At 36.2% G+C, this 17,081-nt stretch overlaps 1 protein-coding gene across 15 annotated transcripts in view, besides 2 other annotated features; it reads right to left on the reverse strand.

Moving 5' to 3' along the window:
* Positions 1 to 17,081, reverse strand: part of KLF12 (KLF transcription factor 12) — a 619,957-nt gene that overhangs the window by 340,985 nt on the left and 261,891 nt on the right. The gene's annotated exons all lie outside the window — the stretch shown is intronic.
* Positions 8,639 to 9,569: an enhancer, noted in NCBI's record as "NANOG-H3K27ac hESC enhancer chr13:74609849-74610779 (GRCh37/hg19 assembly coordinates)". NCBI's record gives its function as "activates a minimal SCP1, AML or CMV promoter by ChIP-STARR-seq in naive H9 embryonic stem cells {active_cell/tissue: H9 hESC(naive)}" and the evidence as "EXISTENCE:reporter gene assay evidence [ECO:0000049][PMID:30033119]".
* Positions 9,570 to 10,499: an enhancer, noted in NCBI's record as "NANOG-H3K27ac hESC enhancer chr13:74610780-74611709 (GRCh37/hg19 assembly coordinates)". NCBI's record gives its function as "activates a minimal SCP1, AML or CMV promoter by ChIP-STARR-seq in naive H9 embryonic stem cells {active_cell/tissue: H9 hESC(naive)}" and the evidence as "EXISTENCE:reporter gene assay evidence [ECO:0000049][PMID:30033119]".

Below are 17,081 nucleotides of genomic sequence, written 5' to 3' on the forward strand. Positions count from 1 at the left end.
AATAGAGTAGAATAAAGAAGCAGAATAGAAAAGAACAATGGGAAAGAGATGCAGAATTAGTTTGACCTAAAATACGAATCAACTGCTTATCAATAAGCCTTAAAAAACAACCTACCTTACAGCTTGCCTGAGAATTTGTGAAGAAATACGAAGGCAATGAGAACTCAAAGTGTAAAGCTACTTCTTTCATATCTCCATGTCTTCTTCTCTAACTGTCTTCTTTTCTCTGTAGTTCTCACACTTCCCCCTCTCCCTTTTTTCATCATCTAATTCTACAGCTCAAAGAAATCCCCCCACTTCGCGATGTCTGTTCATTCAACATGCATACATTTTGTCTTGGGAGCGGGGGGAGAGGGGTAGGTATGAGTGGCATATATAATTGTTTTTAAAATACTAGGGTCTGTTCTATAAATGAAGCAAAAGCAAGCTAAGGAGGAAGACAGAGTATAGTCACCTTTAATAGTAAAACTCAATTAGGCTTTAACAGTAAAACTGAAGATAAAGGTTCCACTCAGGCTATTTATAAATACCCTTAAAACCAAAAACAGTGGTTTCTAATTCTACATGTAGTGACTTGGGCTTCAGATACTTAAGAGTTTAAAGTAGATGGCACATTAAGAAATCAGCAATTGAATCTACAAGATGGAAATACATTTTAAAGTTTTTTGGCCTCTTTTTTCTTTTTTACTTCAAAAACTTTAAAATTTTCCCATAAGAGTTTCAATTGTGACCATACACATTCTTCACATAAAAAGTCAACAAGATGCATTAAAGAGTCTTTTTAATTTAGTTTCAACGTGTGCTTTATTATAACTGTACTACCAATTCCAAATTATTTCATCACGATTACCCACTTTAATCCAAAACAGTATGTCAACAATTATTTCTGTCCCTTGTAAAGAAAGAAGAAGAAAAAAATGAGATATCACTTAACATTGATTGAATTGGCCAATTTAATAGCCATTATATCCATTGCTAGAAAGTGGCAGGAAGAACCTTATTTATAGGTTGCCTCTGGCAATACCAACTATCAGAACTCCTTTGAAAGGCACTTTCCTTTCAAGAGTCAAAAGCACGTTGATAGTCTTTGACCCAGTGATAACATTCCTAGATTAATCCTACAACAACAAAAAAAGGAAAAACTGTAAGTATAAAAAGTGCATGGAAACACGATTTATAATCTAAAAACTGGAAATAATTTATTACGAGGAAATAGCTGATTTAATTATGGTTGAAAACTGTAATGGACTAGCATGCTGCTATTATAAACTACATTTAAGAAAAATGGAAAAAAGAGCTTATTTTGCAATATTAAGTTAAAATGACCTGCGTATGCAGAATAATTAGTAAAGTATACAAAAACTTCTATCAAGTAAATGTGGTGGTTTCACTAGAAATATTTAGCTTAATTTGTATTACTGTCATAATTTCATAACGTTTTTCTAAGTACTTATAGCTACAATATATATACATATTTTATAATCCCTAATATTTTTAAACATTAAAGTAGATTCCAAATGGCAATATTTATTGAAAGACTATAAGGATTAGTAAGGTCATATCTAGAAGTTCTCTTACTATGATAAATATAAGAAACATGGCTCTTATGAGGAAAATGCTTCAAGTTTTAAAATGTTTACATTAGTAAGATTTTATAATGCATCTAGGTGCAGCAGAGAGTTACAATGTGTAAGAGAAGGAAGACAAGGGAATCACATCATTTTATAAGTTTAAATTAATATAAGAAAAAGAGAAAGAATTTTCAATTTTTTTAAAGGGGCATACCTTATATGATCAATTAAAAAGATCTAGAGAAATAGCAGTAAAAACATATGATATTAAAAAAGGTTTGCAGTTATCACTATTAATAGTTAATATTTACCATTGAGTACTAACTTCCAGATGCCCTGCCAGATAGTTTACATAGTTCCCTTTTACATAATTCTCAGTACCACATTACCAAGTAGGTAATTTTGGTAACCGTTTATTTTATAAATGAGGAAAGTGAATCTCAAGTTAAAAACATAACTTGCCCAAAAGATTACATGGAGGATATCTAATCAATAATAAACAGTGGGACTAAGACCAACCAAGTACCGATCCTCTATTGCCTACCATTCCCAAATACCAGTCTTTAAAAAGAAAGGGATTTATAAATCATATAAAACCAGCACTTTTATTTCTATTTCTTCATATAAATGTTCTAGATCTGCTTTTCCTCAGTTGTTTTTTTATCTGTTGTTGAAATGCAGGATTTGTTAAAGTATATGTCAAGAAAATTTCACCATGATTGGTCAACTACTTAGTTTTCAACGTTTCCCATTAAATGTTTCCAAGTAAATTAAAATTTTAAGTTTAAGATCATAAAATTGGTACAGGCATGTTATCTGGTCATATTTCTATTTAAGTCAGACTTAACTACACCAGGAATAATTTGGTAGAATATACTGGATCACATAAATCTTTACGGTTCTCTGTAGTGTTTAAGTCACCAGTGATTTCTAAGGTAAGTATTTAGGAACCCTATTAACGGGTTTAGGCATCCAGGGTACCTAGTATCACTCTTACAGTTTGTTCCCAGGCATTTCTCAACAAGTCTCATTCTATACATCAGGATAAGTCTGGCCCCTAGAAAGGACCTTGCTTTCTAGCATAAATAACACCTAAGGACCTCCTAGGCAGTTAGCTCCCTTCCTAAATCAAATGTTTGGTTCCCTATGAGTTAAGTTTCATAACTTAATCTCCTAAGAACACTGCTTATCAAATCTTACCTCTGACCTATAGTTAAGTGCATATCCAGAGCCAGGCACAAGGAAGCTGAAGTGAAAAAGTATGGAAAGGAAGGAGAGTTGAGGCCACAGGAAGAGCCTGATTCACTCCACAGATGCCTCTAAATTACTTAAAGTTCTGTATTTTCTTATAAGTATATGTGAATTTCCTCCATAAAACTCCACAGTAGATCATTTCATAGCACATTAAAAAATTTTTAAGTGACTATTTGTCTTGAATTATCTGAGAACACTGATAGCCAAATATAAAAGTCAAAATGTCCTTAGAGATTTGAACCTCCAGGCTAAAATAAAAGTCATGGATAGGAATGGAGTGGGAGCATATTTTGTTTTAGCCAGTATGGTAGCCAGGACTCACTAGAAGAAAACAAATGAGAAGATTACCAAAAACAGAGCCCATTGACAATAGAGAGACTACCTCTTTCGGACAAAGCAAAGAACAGTCAGGAAAGAAGCTGTTAGAGAAGAGCAGAGCAGGAGCACACACTCTGCCCAATGTTACACGTTATTGCCTCTCTTTTCCTATTCCTGATTCAGACTCTGTGTCTATTACTGCCAATATATGGTCATTAGACATCAACTTCTTTCATTAGAAAAGAGGATATTTCACCCTACCTTAAGATGGGCCTTAATTAAATTTCTAAATACCTAGATGAAGATGTCTGAACACCTCTACTGTTTCAGAAAAAAACCTTCCTGTCCTTTCCTCCCACGCTCTCTCTCATTTTGGCCCCCATCCAAGAGAAAATAATTATATGGCACAGATAATATTTAAGCCAATTAGTATCACTTCTTAGAAGCCTATAGCAAACAATAAAGGATGCATTTATATGTTAATACAAGCCACAAAAGTAGCATTCTGCCATGTTCCTATTTCATTTCAGGGTGACATTTAAGATAGCATCTTACTTCACAAGATTTAGCTCATTACAATCACAAATTTTGACTCTTGATGTACCCCCTTGACATGAGGAAACTGTCAAGGTAAAGATCTTGACTAATATCAGAGGTAGAAACAAGTGGTTAAACTAAGACTCAAGCTATAATTTCTCTAATCCTAAACTTCATTTTGAACGGCTGCACTATACTGAAGATTATTAAAGTCTACTTCCTACTCTTTATAATATCTACAAGGTACTATATATTTTTAAAATACAAATATGCACAAGGCACTGTGCTATATCTCGAACTACAAAGATTATATAAACAGTCCAAGACTCAGTAGATTCACAGACTCAGCCATTTGCTATTTCTTCTAGATGGAAACCTTCCTTGGACCATCAAAGCCCATCTTTTTGCTCTTTGGAAATTTGGAAATTCTCCATAATGTCTTCCTTGACTAAGTCTCCTCTAGCAATACTATTGACTTTATATGTGATTTAAAATTCATTCATGCAATTTCTTGTGATTGGATGGCTTCATAAATTAGATTTACACTCAACAAACAGACTGTGTCTTCTGCTTTGTTCTGAATTACCAGTTCTACCAACAATATGCTATATGTTGAGTGAAGTAGACAAAATCAGTTTGACAAGGGGGCAATCTCAGGTACACAGAACTAGATAAATCTTAACTCTAGGTTTATGAGAAATTATCATCATGTCTCTTTTATTTTATTTAGAGGAGGTGTATGTTACTGGTAATAACTTAACTCTTTGGTAGGGCACTACTTCAAATTTTAAAAAGATGTGATTTAAATCATTACTATTAAAGAGATGTAATCTTGTACCAAACCAGACTTTTTTTATATGTACCGTTAACATACCGCCTTCTTCCATCTACAAGCAGTGCATTATAAAACAACTCAAATAACTAAAATAGTTAATATCATGATAGATATTCCATGTTGCATAGATTAAAAGATAAAGTTACTTGAAAGATTAAATTAACTTATGATTTAGTGTTCCACGTGATTCTTTTCCAACAAATACAAATCTGAAAAAAAATGTGCTTCTCAATTTTCATTCAGTTATAAATATGTATTTCAAAGATGCAATAGGCTACTCTAAATGTCGGGCTAAGCAACTAATTAGGTCTTCATCTTCCTCTCTCTATTAATTATTTTAGGTAAATAGGAATAATCTCATTTGGGAATTATTATAAGAGAAATTCCTTCACTGAGGTGGGAAGCTAGGCTACACCATGTCCAAAGCCCCACCCAAGGCAGAGTTTCTTAATTAAGAACTCTGTTCACAAGCGTACAGAGGCCTCCTCACACTAATCAAGTTCATCATTTTTCACGTAAAAATCCATGGAATGTTGTTGGTGCACTATAAAAATACAGTTTGGAAAGTGAAAATAAAACCTACGATATGTAGTAGGAGCTTCCAAATCTGTTAGGCACAGACTTGATCATAGGACTCTCCTTAACATTTCTAACAGAAACTGAAGAAGAACTTGTAGTAAACCAATATAATAACTAAGCCTTGTAGAAGGCCTTCAAATACTTTCTTATATGTATCTAGATAATTGCATCTAGATACATTTATGTAGCCGCATAAATGCTTCACAGTGGGAGCTCTCCATAGTCTGGTCTCACTTTACTTTAATTCCTATGTCTTCAGGAAAACCAGCCAAAACCTTACTGAACTGTACATTTCCAAGCTGCTCATTCTTGTATCTGCTACTTGCTCAGGCTATTTTGCCTACAGAACGTGTTCTACTTTCAGTCACTACCTACCCAGCGTTCAGTGTCAACTCAACGCTTGCTTTCTCCATGTATCTTCTCTATGACACATGAGTATTATTCAACCTTAACCATCTTATATACAACCCCATTCTCATGACCCAGGCCTCTCTCTATATTTTCATCTGAACTTTGTAATTTACCACCTGATCATATAACTATCTTAAATACAGATTACCTCTTCCTGAAGTTTTGTATCTACACCTACAGCATTAATTCTACATCTTATACTTCTTCTTTGCTGCTGGCAGTGCTTGGTATTCAGTAAATACTTGATGGCTGACCAATAAAAAGAAAATCACCTCTATACTAATATTTTAATTTTCCAAAAAGTATTTAAAATTTTAAACAGAAATATGTGTTTAATGTTCAATTGCTTTTATTCTTTAAAACTCCATTTCTCTGTATCTACCCTAACAGCTACCTCCACAAACGTCACTTACTAATTTCCTAATAATGCCCCATGGGTGTTATAAAAAATGCCAATTAAATATGCTATTTCTTTTTCTCCATCTTTTCCTCTTGAAATAAAACGTGACATGTACTGTATACAAATTAAAACCAGTGCTGCCTGCCCTTCTTATATAATAAAAACATTAAGAAATGAAAACACCATTGCTTTTATTTCCTCTTAAGAAAAGTACAGGCTAAAACTCTCAGACTCTGCAAAAAGTATAAATAAGAAAGTTGAGATCCCTTGAAGTTCTACAACTAACAGGATACATTGTTACTCTATTTGGTGTATGCCCTTTTATTATACATGCACATACACAAATGTACAAATTCTGAAGCTGATCCTTAAAACCTGGCTCCACACTTCCAACTGGTGTGACCTGGAGTTATTTAGCCCCCTGTTATTTCTGTTAACTAATCTATAAGATAGGGCTAATAATATTTACTCAAAGGAATGTTATAATTAAATGAGATAATCAACATAAAGCACTTAGCCTAGTATCTAACACACAAGTGTTCAACATGTTACTATAGATCCTTGACACAAATGCTATTTTGTAATCTACTTCCTAGATTACTTAATATTTCATAGACAAACTTCCATAGCAAAGAATTCAAAAAGACTTTTGTTTTGAATGGCAGCTTAGTGTTCCTTCTATCAATGTGCCACATTTATGTAACTATCTCCCTATTACACATTTTGATTGCTTCGCAACTTTTAATTATAATAATCTGATGAGAATAATTGTAGCTAAATCTTTACACATACTCATAATTATATTTTTGGAATATATTCCTAGAAGTAAAATTTCTGGGTCATAGGGTAATCAGATTATAAATGGTTAGGCATACAGAAAGTATACATTCACACGTTTCATCAGTGCATATATATGTGTAGTTATTACAGTTTCTTCCATATGGCCATCTTTTTAATCTTACCCAAGCTGAAAGCCAAAAAAAAAAAAAGGCACTGTTTTAATTTATATTTCTTGGACTACCAGTGACATTAAACATCAACTCATCTGTTTACTGGTCATTTACGCATTCACTTTTTTTGTTTTGTTTTGTTTTTGTTTTTTGAGACAGAGTCTCGCTCTGTCACCCAGGCTTTAGTGCAATGACGGGATCTCAGCTCACTGCAACCTCTGCCTCCCAGGTTCAAGCAATTTTCCTGCCTCAGCCTCCCAAGTAGCTGGGATTAGAGGCACCCACCACCATGCCTGGCGAATTTTTTGTATTTTTTTTTTAGTAGAGATGGGTTTTCGCCATGTTGGCCAGGCTGGTCTTGAACTCCTTACCTCAGGTGATTCACCTGCCTTGGCCTCCCAAAGTGCTGGGATTACAGGCATGAGCCACCACACCCGGCCCATTTATGCATTCTCTTGTGAAATCCCAGTTCAAATATTTTCCCATCTTTATATTGGGCAGCTGCTGCCTTACTTTATTTAAGAGGTTTCTTCATGAAAAATATTTTCACTGTCATATATGTTGTAAATGGTTTTTACCACTTTATAGTTCGCCATTTAAACTGACAAAACTTTTATTATAAAAGTGTTTGAAGTAGTCAAATTCCAACTTACAATTTCTAGATTTGGAGTCACCATTCAGAAAGTTCTTCTCTATTCCAGATTTACAAAGATATTCACTTAAATCCTATTTTAGTACCTTTTGTCTATTACTCTGATTCGGGTTTTATGAAGCAAAGTATTAGGGAGATACATCTGAAATCTTAGAGCATTATTTCTGAAAATATCTCAGGTTGGACAAAGCATAATGCCTAGGCAAACTGCTGTATTAAGATGCTATAGAAGAGGATTTGTCTAAGCTTCCAAGGTAGAATACTATAAAAAGGCCCATCATATACACTGGCTTAATAGCTGTCACTATTTTTAGCAATTAATTTTTATCCCAACCCATATACCTCTGTTCTGATTTCCAGGCCTTTTTATCCCATAGCTTACCTCACATCTGTAGTCAAATATTACTTCCTCAAGGGAACACAGCCTCACCAGTTTCCTGTTATATGCTAGCCTAGAATTTTTCCCTTTATTCAACAGCAGCTCTCGGGTGGAAGTGATACATATATACAGTAATCCCTCAGTATTTGCGGTTATTGGTTCTAGGACTCCCACCACAAATCAAAATCCAAAGATGCTTGAGCCCATTATGTAAAACAGTAGCATGTAGTATTTGCATATAACCTATGCATATCCTCCCATATACTTTAAATCATCTCTAGATTACATATAATGCCTAATACAATGCAGATGCTACATACATAGTTGTGCTGTATTTTTAAATTTATGTTGTCTTTCTTTTAATATTTTCAATTTCGGTTGGTGGAATTTGTGGATGAGAAACCCTTGGAAACAGAGGGTTGACTCAATTTATATTAATGTGGTTATCTGCACCACTGCAAGAATGATGATTATTTTTGATCCCCATTGCAGGAGCTGGCATCCAAATAGGTGCTCGATAAATATGTCTCAAAAGAAAGGAGGAAGAAAAATTCATAGTACATTTTTTTGTTTTGTTCTCATTTGTTTGTTTTTAAATGTGATGTCTGAATGAAGCCAAACAAAAAGCTGGTACTACCCAGTTCTTTAGAAGTAATCTTTCTCTCACAAATTTTTAGAAAAGCTGAAGAGAATCATAATCATTCTAAAAATTCATTTCTGAGGGGTTGAAAGGGGAATGAATTTTTCATCCTAAAATGATCTGCTGTCATTTCATATCCTTAAAAATGGGTAAGTATCAGCATCTCTTCAGACGCTCTTCAGTTTTAAATTGTACACAAATTTTTAAAATTTTGATTTCTAAGACTGGTAATTTGAGAGTAACAATTCAAATCTCTATAGGATTTTGCAATTTAGAAAGCTTTTTTACTTTTCTATAAACATTTTATTTACTATTCATAACTTTAATGTGACATGGGAGTTAATAGGGAAGAACCTCATCTTAAATTAACAGGTCTAGTGGTAGAAGGACTTGAACCCAGGATGTCTGACCGGTCCAGTGCACTCATTAACCAGCCAGCCACGGCCACATCCCCAGCTCCTGCCTCAGAATGCTCCTATACACTCCTATCCGCAAGGCCTAGCATTCATCAGCTCCTTGTGAACCATCTGACACCACCCACTCTCTAAGTCTTCACAGATTTTCCTCAGACCATTTCCATACTTTCAACAATGTATCCTCTCCATACTTAAATATTCCATGGCCTATTTTGCATTGCTGGTAAATCTCCTTTTCTCCCACTTGCAGATAAATCCTCTGAAGAGACTCTTAGTTCTTCAAAGAACGACCTTAACTTCCCACGGTACCTAATATAAGAGTTAAAAATTGATTGTTAATAAACTGGAACAGGGAGGCTATGTACCAAAAAAATGAAAAACAAGCTATTTTTAAAGGCCTTGCCTGACACTCACCCAGACTCATTGTCCCCACGCCCACCCACAGGCTCCCAGATCCCCACACAGTGCACGCACAAACACATGAACACCACCAGCAGGAACACAGCATTCCCAAGAAGGTTTTTCAACCTGAGGATGTGGTAAGATTTTTCTATCCAGATGACAGAGGAGTGTGGCCTGGAGGCTTTTCTTTGCAAAACAGGTTTTTCTTGCTGGCTTCTGCCCTAACAGACATTCACTTTGCATATCCCTGTGGTGGGACAGGAGGCAGGGTAGAAAAAGAAGTCAGCAGAAGATGGTGATGAAATTCCCAAGGAAGTTCCATTAACCTGATCTTCCAGCACAATGAAATGTGAAAGAATAAGACAGGGAAGAGGATGTAGAAAAAGTGCCTTCTGTTTTATGCCAACAAGACAGCTCTCATTTTGATAAATTTATAAACCAAGTGTAAACTTGACCATGTTGTCTGTTTTTATCTTGGTCACATAAGCGTAAAAGATTTTCTTTTGGGCCAGGAGCCGTGGCTCACGCCTGTAATCCCAGCACTTTGGGAGGCCGAGGCAGGTGGATCACGAGGTCAGGAGTTCAAGACCAGCCTGGCCAAGATGGTGAAACCCCGTCTCTACTGAAAATAAAAAAATTAGCCAGGCATGGTGGTGGGCGCCTGTAATCTCAGCTATTCGGGAGGCTGAGGCAGAGAACTGCTTGAACCTGGGAGGCGGAGGTTGCAGTGAGCCGAGATCACGCCATTGCACTCCAGCCAAGGCAACAGAGCAAGACTCCGTCTCCAAAAAAAAAAAAAAAAAAACTTTTCTTTCTGGAAAATGTGAACTATTTCCTGAAAGAAAAACATACAAAAGCACCTGTTTTTTCCCTTCTAGATCAGAAGTTTCCACCTTGCTTACATAAACATGGATCACTGTATCTGCAACCCAGCCTGCAGTATGTCGGAAGGGACGGATTCCCTTACAATACACACTCACCCATTTAGACCCCCCATGCCTACCACATGCATCCATCTTTACAACCTCAATTATGCACAAGACATCCACAGCCGCCAATTAAACCGTGTTGAACACTCCAATTCATTGCGTATGAGCCTGCAAATTTTTTTTGCTCACAGAAGCATTTTCTAAGATGCACTTGTCAATTTTTAGCTCATTAATACTGTGGATCCCAATTTTTAGCATTCTACTTAAGTTTTGCAACTTGATACATTTTCTGGATAATGAACACAACATGTGGTCTCTAAGTTCTGATTAATAGGAGTGGACTCCCATTATGATAATGTTGACAATTCATTACTCTAGGAAAGCCAACTTTAAGATAATTTTTTTAAACAGAAAATGTGTAAACTGATCATGGATGAGGGATGATCTGTGGACTGGGCAATGAATACAGATAAAATCACTGCTGCTGTCTCTTAATAACAGAAACATCTTATAGTTCTTCATGCCATAGTTAATGCAGAAGCTAATGTAAAGCACAAGGTCAGGATGATTAAAATCCTGTTATGAGGGGTCAGGGTTAGCTACAAAACAGTAGCACAGGAAGCCTTGTGGGCATGGAACCCCACATACACAAGATCTGTTATCTTGATTCTGGTGGTAGCCATGCAAATCAATACATGTGATAAAACTGCCTAGAACTGATACAAAGGACACACAAATGAGTGCATGTAAAGTCAGTGATCCTGAAGAAGATCTGTGGATTATACCAATGTCAATTTCTTAGTTTTGGCACTGTATTACGTCATGTAAGATGCTACCAGTGGGGAAAACTGGTAGGGAGGAGACAAGGAATCTCCTGTGTCTGAGGAATGGGAGGGGGAATTCCTGTGAACTTATAACTATTCAAAATAATTTTTTCAAAAAGGCTGTCAGTTGCAAACACTGTTAGACATACATGCATTCAGTCAATCATGTATTCATTCAACCAACATTTATTAACCACATACTGCTGCCTAGCATTGCTCTACATGCTGGGGCTACAGACACAACATGATATGATCTTTGATCTGGAAGAACTCACAGCCTGGTCATCCACGACAAAAAGCAGTGCAGGAGGGAAGAGAAGGTACAATCGTACTCGACATGGAGAACAGACAGACATGAACACCTGAAGTTGATCCATATATATTATAGTCCAGCTCCACATTAAAGCAAATGTATTTGTCAATCACCATTCCATTCACAAATGACTATAAACGACTAGTATAAAATGAACATATTAACCTAAGGTTCCCATCATTAAAATATCAACCCTGTGGAGAAATTTTTGCTGAAGTTATTTCTAACTTCAGGACAAAGAAATGTTCAGTTAAAGTAAGTTGACTGCTTTTGTAAGAAAGGGGGTTGTGTTTGACTTCAAAAGCTCAGTATTTCTTTTAAATTCCTTTTTAAGATACATCTTTGGAAATGTTATTAAAATTGTTCAAGCTAAATTTACAGCTTAGTTTAAAACATGTAAAACTTAGGGACGATAACATCCCAGGGGAAAAAAAAATGCTTTATGCTATTAGAATTTGAATATCTATAACTAGCAAAAAAAAAATTAACCTCGAATAGCCATTACTATTTTTTTAATACAGCTATGGATTCACTTTGCACAATATGTGTGTTCCTGGAAAGGTTTTGTAAAAGCAGACGATTTCATTTTAAATTCATTTTAAATTAATATTTTATTTACGCATTTTTTTCCTTTGCTTCTAATTAATTTCAATTAACAGTATCCTGGTATTTTAATTTATTAGTCTCTCTGCCAAGTTGGTCTAATCAGATCTTTGGGTTCCCTATCCTAACATTACATCTGAAAAATGCTACATTAAGACAATATAATTCTCAGCTGGGCACAGTGGCTCTTACCTGTAATCTTAGTACTTTGAGAGGCTGAAGCAGGAGGAGTGCTTGAGTTCAGTTTGAGACCAGCCTGGGCAACACAGCAAGACCCCATCTCTACCAAAAGAAAAAATAGCCAGGCAAGTTGGCATATGCCCGTAGTCCCAGCTACTTGGGAAGCTGAGATGGAAGGACTGCTTGAGCCAGGTGAAGCCAGTGAGCTTTTCAGTCTCACACCACCATACTCCAGCCTGGGCAACACAACGAGACCCCATCTCCAAAGAAATAAAAAATAAAAATACATAAAAAGTTTAAAAACTAAAAAGAAAAACATAATTCTGTAAAAAATTATAAAATAATTTTTATTTAATGATATTGTGCTTTGGCCTTAAAGATTTATTACAAAATGGACAGTACTTCTGGAAATAGGGGGAAATAAAAAATGAAATATCAATGTTATATTTCAAAAGCGTAATACAATTAGGATAAAGATAGAAATTCTTCACACATCTTTAGCCTCAGCTTGGATGAGTGCTGCATTCAAGATGACAGACACAAAAGATGGTAATGCTGACTCCACTAAACTGTTGTCTGACACATAACACTGTCCTGTCATGCCTCAATTTTCACACATGAGCTATTGCTCAAAATTCAGTATAAAATAGTGACTTACGGCTGTCAATGTAAAAAGTATGGCTTGCTCGAACACCAACTCATGGATGTCAAAGACCAAGTGTGGTTAGTAGACAATCTAGATGAAAGTATTCAACTGTGGGTTTAATGCATTAAAATATATAAATGGTAAATCACATATATAGGACCCTTTCTTCAAATTTTCCCTAATAAATGGCCACTACATTATCTTTCAAAACTTATCTGTTAATTCAAAATCTGTATATCACAGGGTTATTAATAAACAGGACAGATGTGATAGCCACAGACTAAGGGAAAAACACATTATCACTTCATTTATATTTTTTTAGTCTAACATGTATCAGGCATAATGCCAGGTGCTAGGGATTCAACAGTCACAGACAGACAGGATTCATGCCATCAAGGAGGGCATCTATGAGGAAGAGAAAAAGTGTGCTCGTGCTGCTGGTCTATGGAATACGGTACTGTGCTATGCAGACCAGGCACCACTCCTGACGACTGACACCCCTAGTGGATGCACTGGCCATCTGCAGCCCCGGCCTGGGACATTGGGATTCCAGAAGACCTGGGGAGCCTCCATTGTATCAAGAACAGTTTCAGGAATGAAAAAGACTTCCAGTATAAAAAACTCAGTGCCAACATCAGAATGCCTACAAATTCTCACCTTTTCCATTTTCAAACAACTTGAGACTGACTAAAAGGTTCTTGGAAAAACTCACTTAGACACAATGAATGCATTACACAGGAAAGCTGTTAACAGGCATTTTCTCCATGATTCCTTTAGGGAGTCATCCCCTCTGCTTAAATACACACCCTACATATAATATAGTCATACAAAACAGTATTCCCGAAGCTGAGGAAGTCAAAAATGTTCATAACAACTCTCACAATAATCCTTGCCTCTGCAAAGCAGGCCAGAATGAAAACCAGCTTTTCTGATTTCCATCTGCCCTCTCCAAAGCTCAACTTAAAAGCTTGACATCATCTTTGACCCCTCCTTCACCCAGACCTTTCCCATTCTATTAGTTGCCAAGTCCTACAAGTTCTATCTGAGAAAACCTCTCAAACTGATCCCTTCTTGTCCATTTGCATTGCCGCAACAGTTGTCTAGGGTGACAATAAATAAACCCACAATACAACCCCAAATAACATCTCCAAAATTCTTTCTCCCCACAAAGATATCTTAGCTGACAACCACACTAGACTACTTATACACACCTTTCCTCCTTAGCACTCCGCTCACATCACTCCTTCCACCTCAAATACCTCACAGAAATCCCACCTCCTTCACATCCTAGCTTTAAAGCAACTTCTTCAGAAAAAGCATGCCCATATTATCTACCATCTCTGAATCCCCACAATATTTTGCACCATTCATGTGCCCTGTAGTATAGTTTCTCATGTAGGTATTTATTATGGAAGTATTTATATATCAAAAGACTGGCTTTGTCCCACACAGTTCAGGGATGAGTTTTATTTCTCTTTTTGTGATTACTGTCCTTCAGATAAGACACGGCTCACAGGATGAGATTAATAAATATTTATCAAATGAAACTGGCTTCCAACATTCATGTTAAGATGCTGACTTACTCTCAAATTCAAGCATTGTGTAAGTAGAGCTAAAATTTTGATAAGTGGGAGGATGGGGGCTTTTAAGAGTTCAATTTGCTGCAGCAACTCTTCCTTCTTAAAACTCATCAAAATCACCAGCATCCACGGCTCAGCGTAATGAAAGAGAAATTAAAAATCAAAGATATAGCTATGAAATTCCCCAGATCGCTGATTTACACACACACACACACACACACACACACACACACACACACACCCCTTCAAAACAGAAAAGAAAACACTCAGGGCAGAATAGCAAAGTTTTCAGAGCAATCTCCTGAGTCAGAATGCTTTGGTCTAATATTTCCTCTACTACATTATTGTGTGAAGGTATTCAAGCTATATAAATACCCTGCTCCTTAATTTCATCTACAAAATGAAGATCATAATTCATATAAACATCTAAAAAATATAAGTGCTAAATAAGTGCTATACAAGTGTTTGCTATTAACATTTTCTGTAATGTATAGTTTAGTCATAACTTCAGTATGAAGAAGGGGTTATCGGCTGGGTGTAGTGGCTCACGCCTGTAATCCCAGCACTTTAGGAGGCTGAGGTGGGTGGATCACTTTAGGTGAGGAGTTCAAGACCAGCCTGCCCAACATGGTAAAACCCCATCTCCACTAAAAATACAAAAGTTAGCTGGGCATAGTGGCAGGCACCTGTAATCCCAGCTACTCAGGAGGATGAGGCAGGAGAATCACTTGGACCCAGGAGGTGGATGTTGCAGTGAGCTGAGATAGCACCACTGCACTCCAGCCTGGGTGACAAAGCGAGACTCCATCTCAAAAAAAAAAAAAAAAAAATGAGGTTATCTACTGGCCACTGGCTACTGGCCAATTCTGAATAGATAAGGTCACACGTGCATTCAGCGTTAAGGACCCAATCTTGAAAATGTATCTGACCTGGTAGCATTTCACCCTGCCAGGTAACACTCCATGTTTTTACCGTAACAAAGACATTAAAAGGTCAGAGTGTCCCAAAGATTGCTTTTTAGCTTCTTTTTAGAAGCAAAACCAGAAGAGTATCTGCCTTGATTGAGCTGTGTTGAAAATCACTGGAGTTAGGACCATAAGAATCCTAGGTACAGTCTGAATGTGAATTGACTCAACGACTTAATGGATTGCCGAGTCTTAACATCAATTAAGACAGATCCGATAAGTATGTCCAAAAGGGTAATAAAATAATTCAGCAGGTCTTCATAAATATGAAATATTAAATATTTGCAATGTGTCATTCAATCAGACAGATAAGATCTATGCTTCAGAGAACAGGAACTCATAAAGCTTTTAAATGAATACGAAAAAAGCATTAACTGAGGCACAAATTAAAACAGACAGCACAGTGAATCTCTATGGGCAAGAAGCCTTTCTAGTACCTCAATATCCCAGGAGACACAGCAAAGTAGGAAGAAACCTAGGGAAATAGGAATAAGGATTCAAGAAAGTAGCAAAGTTTAGTGGGGATCTTTCACAAGATTATTCCAATATTAATACAAAAAAGAAAGGGCAAAAAGATTCCACACATGATAAATAAGATCGGACAGACTGAAAAATCTCTCCATGAGGTTAAACAGATTCCCTTCATGAGATACTATGTTTTCATTAATTCTGTAAATTTCAAAGGCTGAATGAAATAAGGGTCTAGCACTGCTGAAGCTTGCGTAAGTATCCCACTCATGGTCAGAGGAAAATAAAGACAGTAATCCTTTGACAGATTAAATGTTTCAAACCTCAAAAATTAATGCATTCAAATGCTTCAAAGGAATATGTTTATTGATGAGTAAATATGGTTATGGGGATAGAGGACAAAGATAATTCATAATAGCTTGATCTAAGGCCATTCTGTGCTAAAACAGGAGTAACGAAACTAAGACAAGTATAAAACTCATTCCAACTTCCGTACAAACATGTAACAGGCCCCAGTGGGAAAATGGAATTTAACATGTGTGCGTGCATGTTTCTGTGTGTGTGTGTACACTCTGCTTTTGTAATGGTTTGACTGATTTTTGATATTTCGCTAAAATGTAATGAATCAGGATTATACAAATATCTTGGTCCTTGACTACGACAACCCATAAAAGCTACCAAGCTCCCATTTCTTAAAAGCACAAATTGATTAATTAATACAAAGGGATAACAGCAGTATGTGACTGAATTTAAGTTTTTCCCTTAGAATTCCTTGAGGAAAGCATACATTTCTCTACTCAACATAATATTTATGTGTTCAATCAAGACTAAAATTGTAAAAATTGGGCAATGGATCTAGTTTTGGCAAATTAGGCAGGTCCTCACAGCAATTGCTGTGTGGGTTGAAAGAAGAGTGGGAGAGCATTCAATTCATTAAACACTCCTACAGCATTCTATCTTTACTAACAATCTTGCAGAGAATTCTGCATCTATTCTTATTGCTACCAACAATATACAATATTCTTTAATACATAATATTTCATTTCTATGCCTGCTGGCAAAGCTGCAAAAAACAAAAAGAATGATATGGTCAATAAATAATTTCTCCAGTCAGAATATTAATACAAACTTTCTTATACCTTGCCCTTAGATGAATGATTCAATGCCCAGGAATATAAACTACCTTGTAAAAGTATCAGTGAGAGAGAAAAACTCTGCACACTGAAGAG

This window comes from Homo sapiens, chromosome 13, assembly GCF_000001405.40.
Source record: "Homo sapiens chromosome 13, GRCh38.p14 Primary Assembly".
Lineage (NCBI taxonomy): Eukaryota > Metazoa > Chordata > Mammalia > Primates > Hominidae > Homo > Homo sapiens.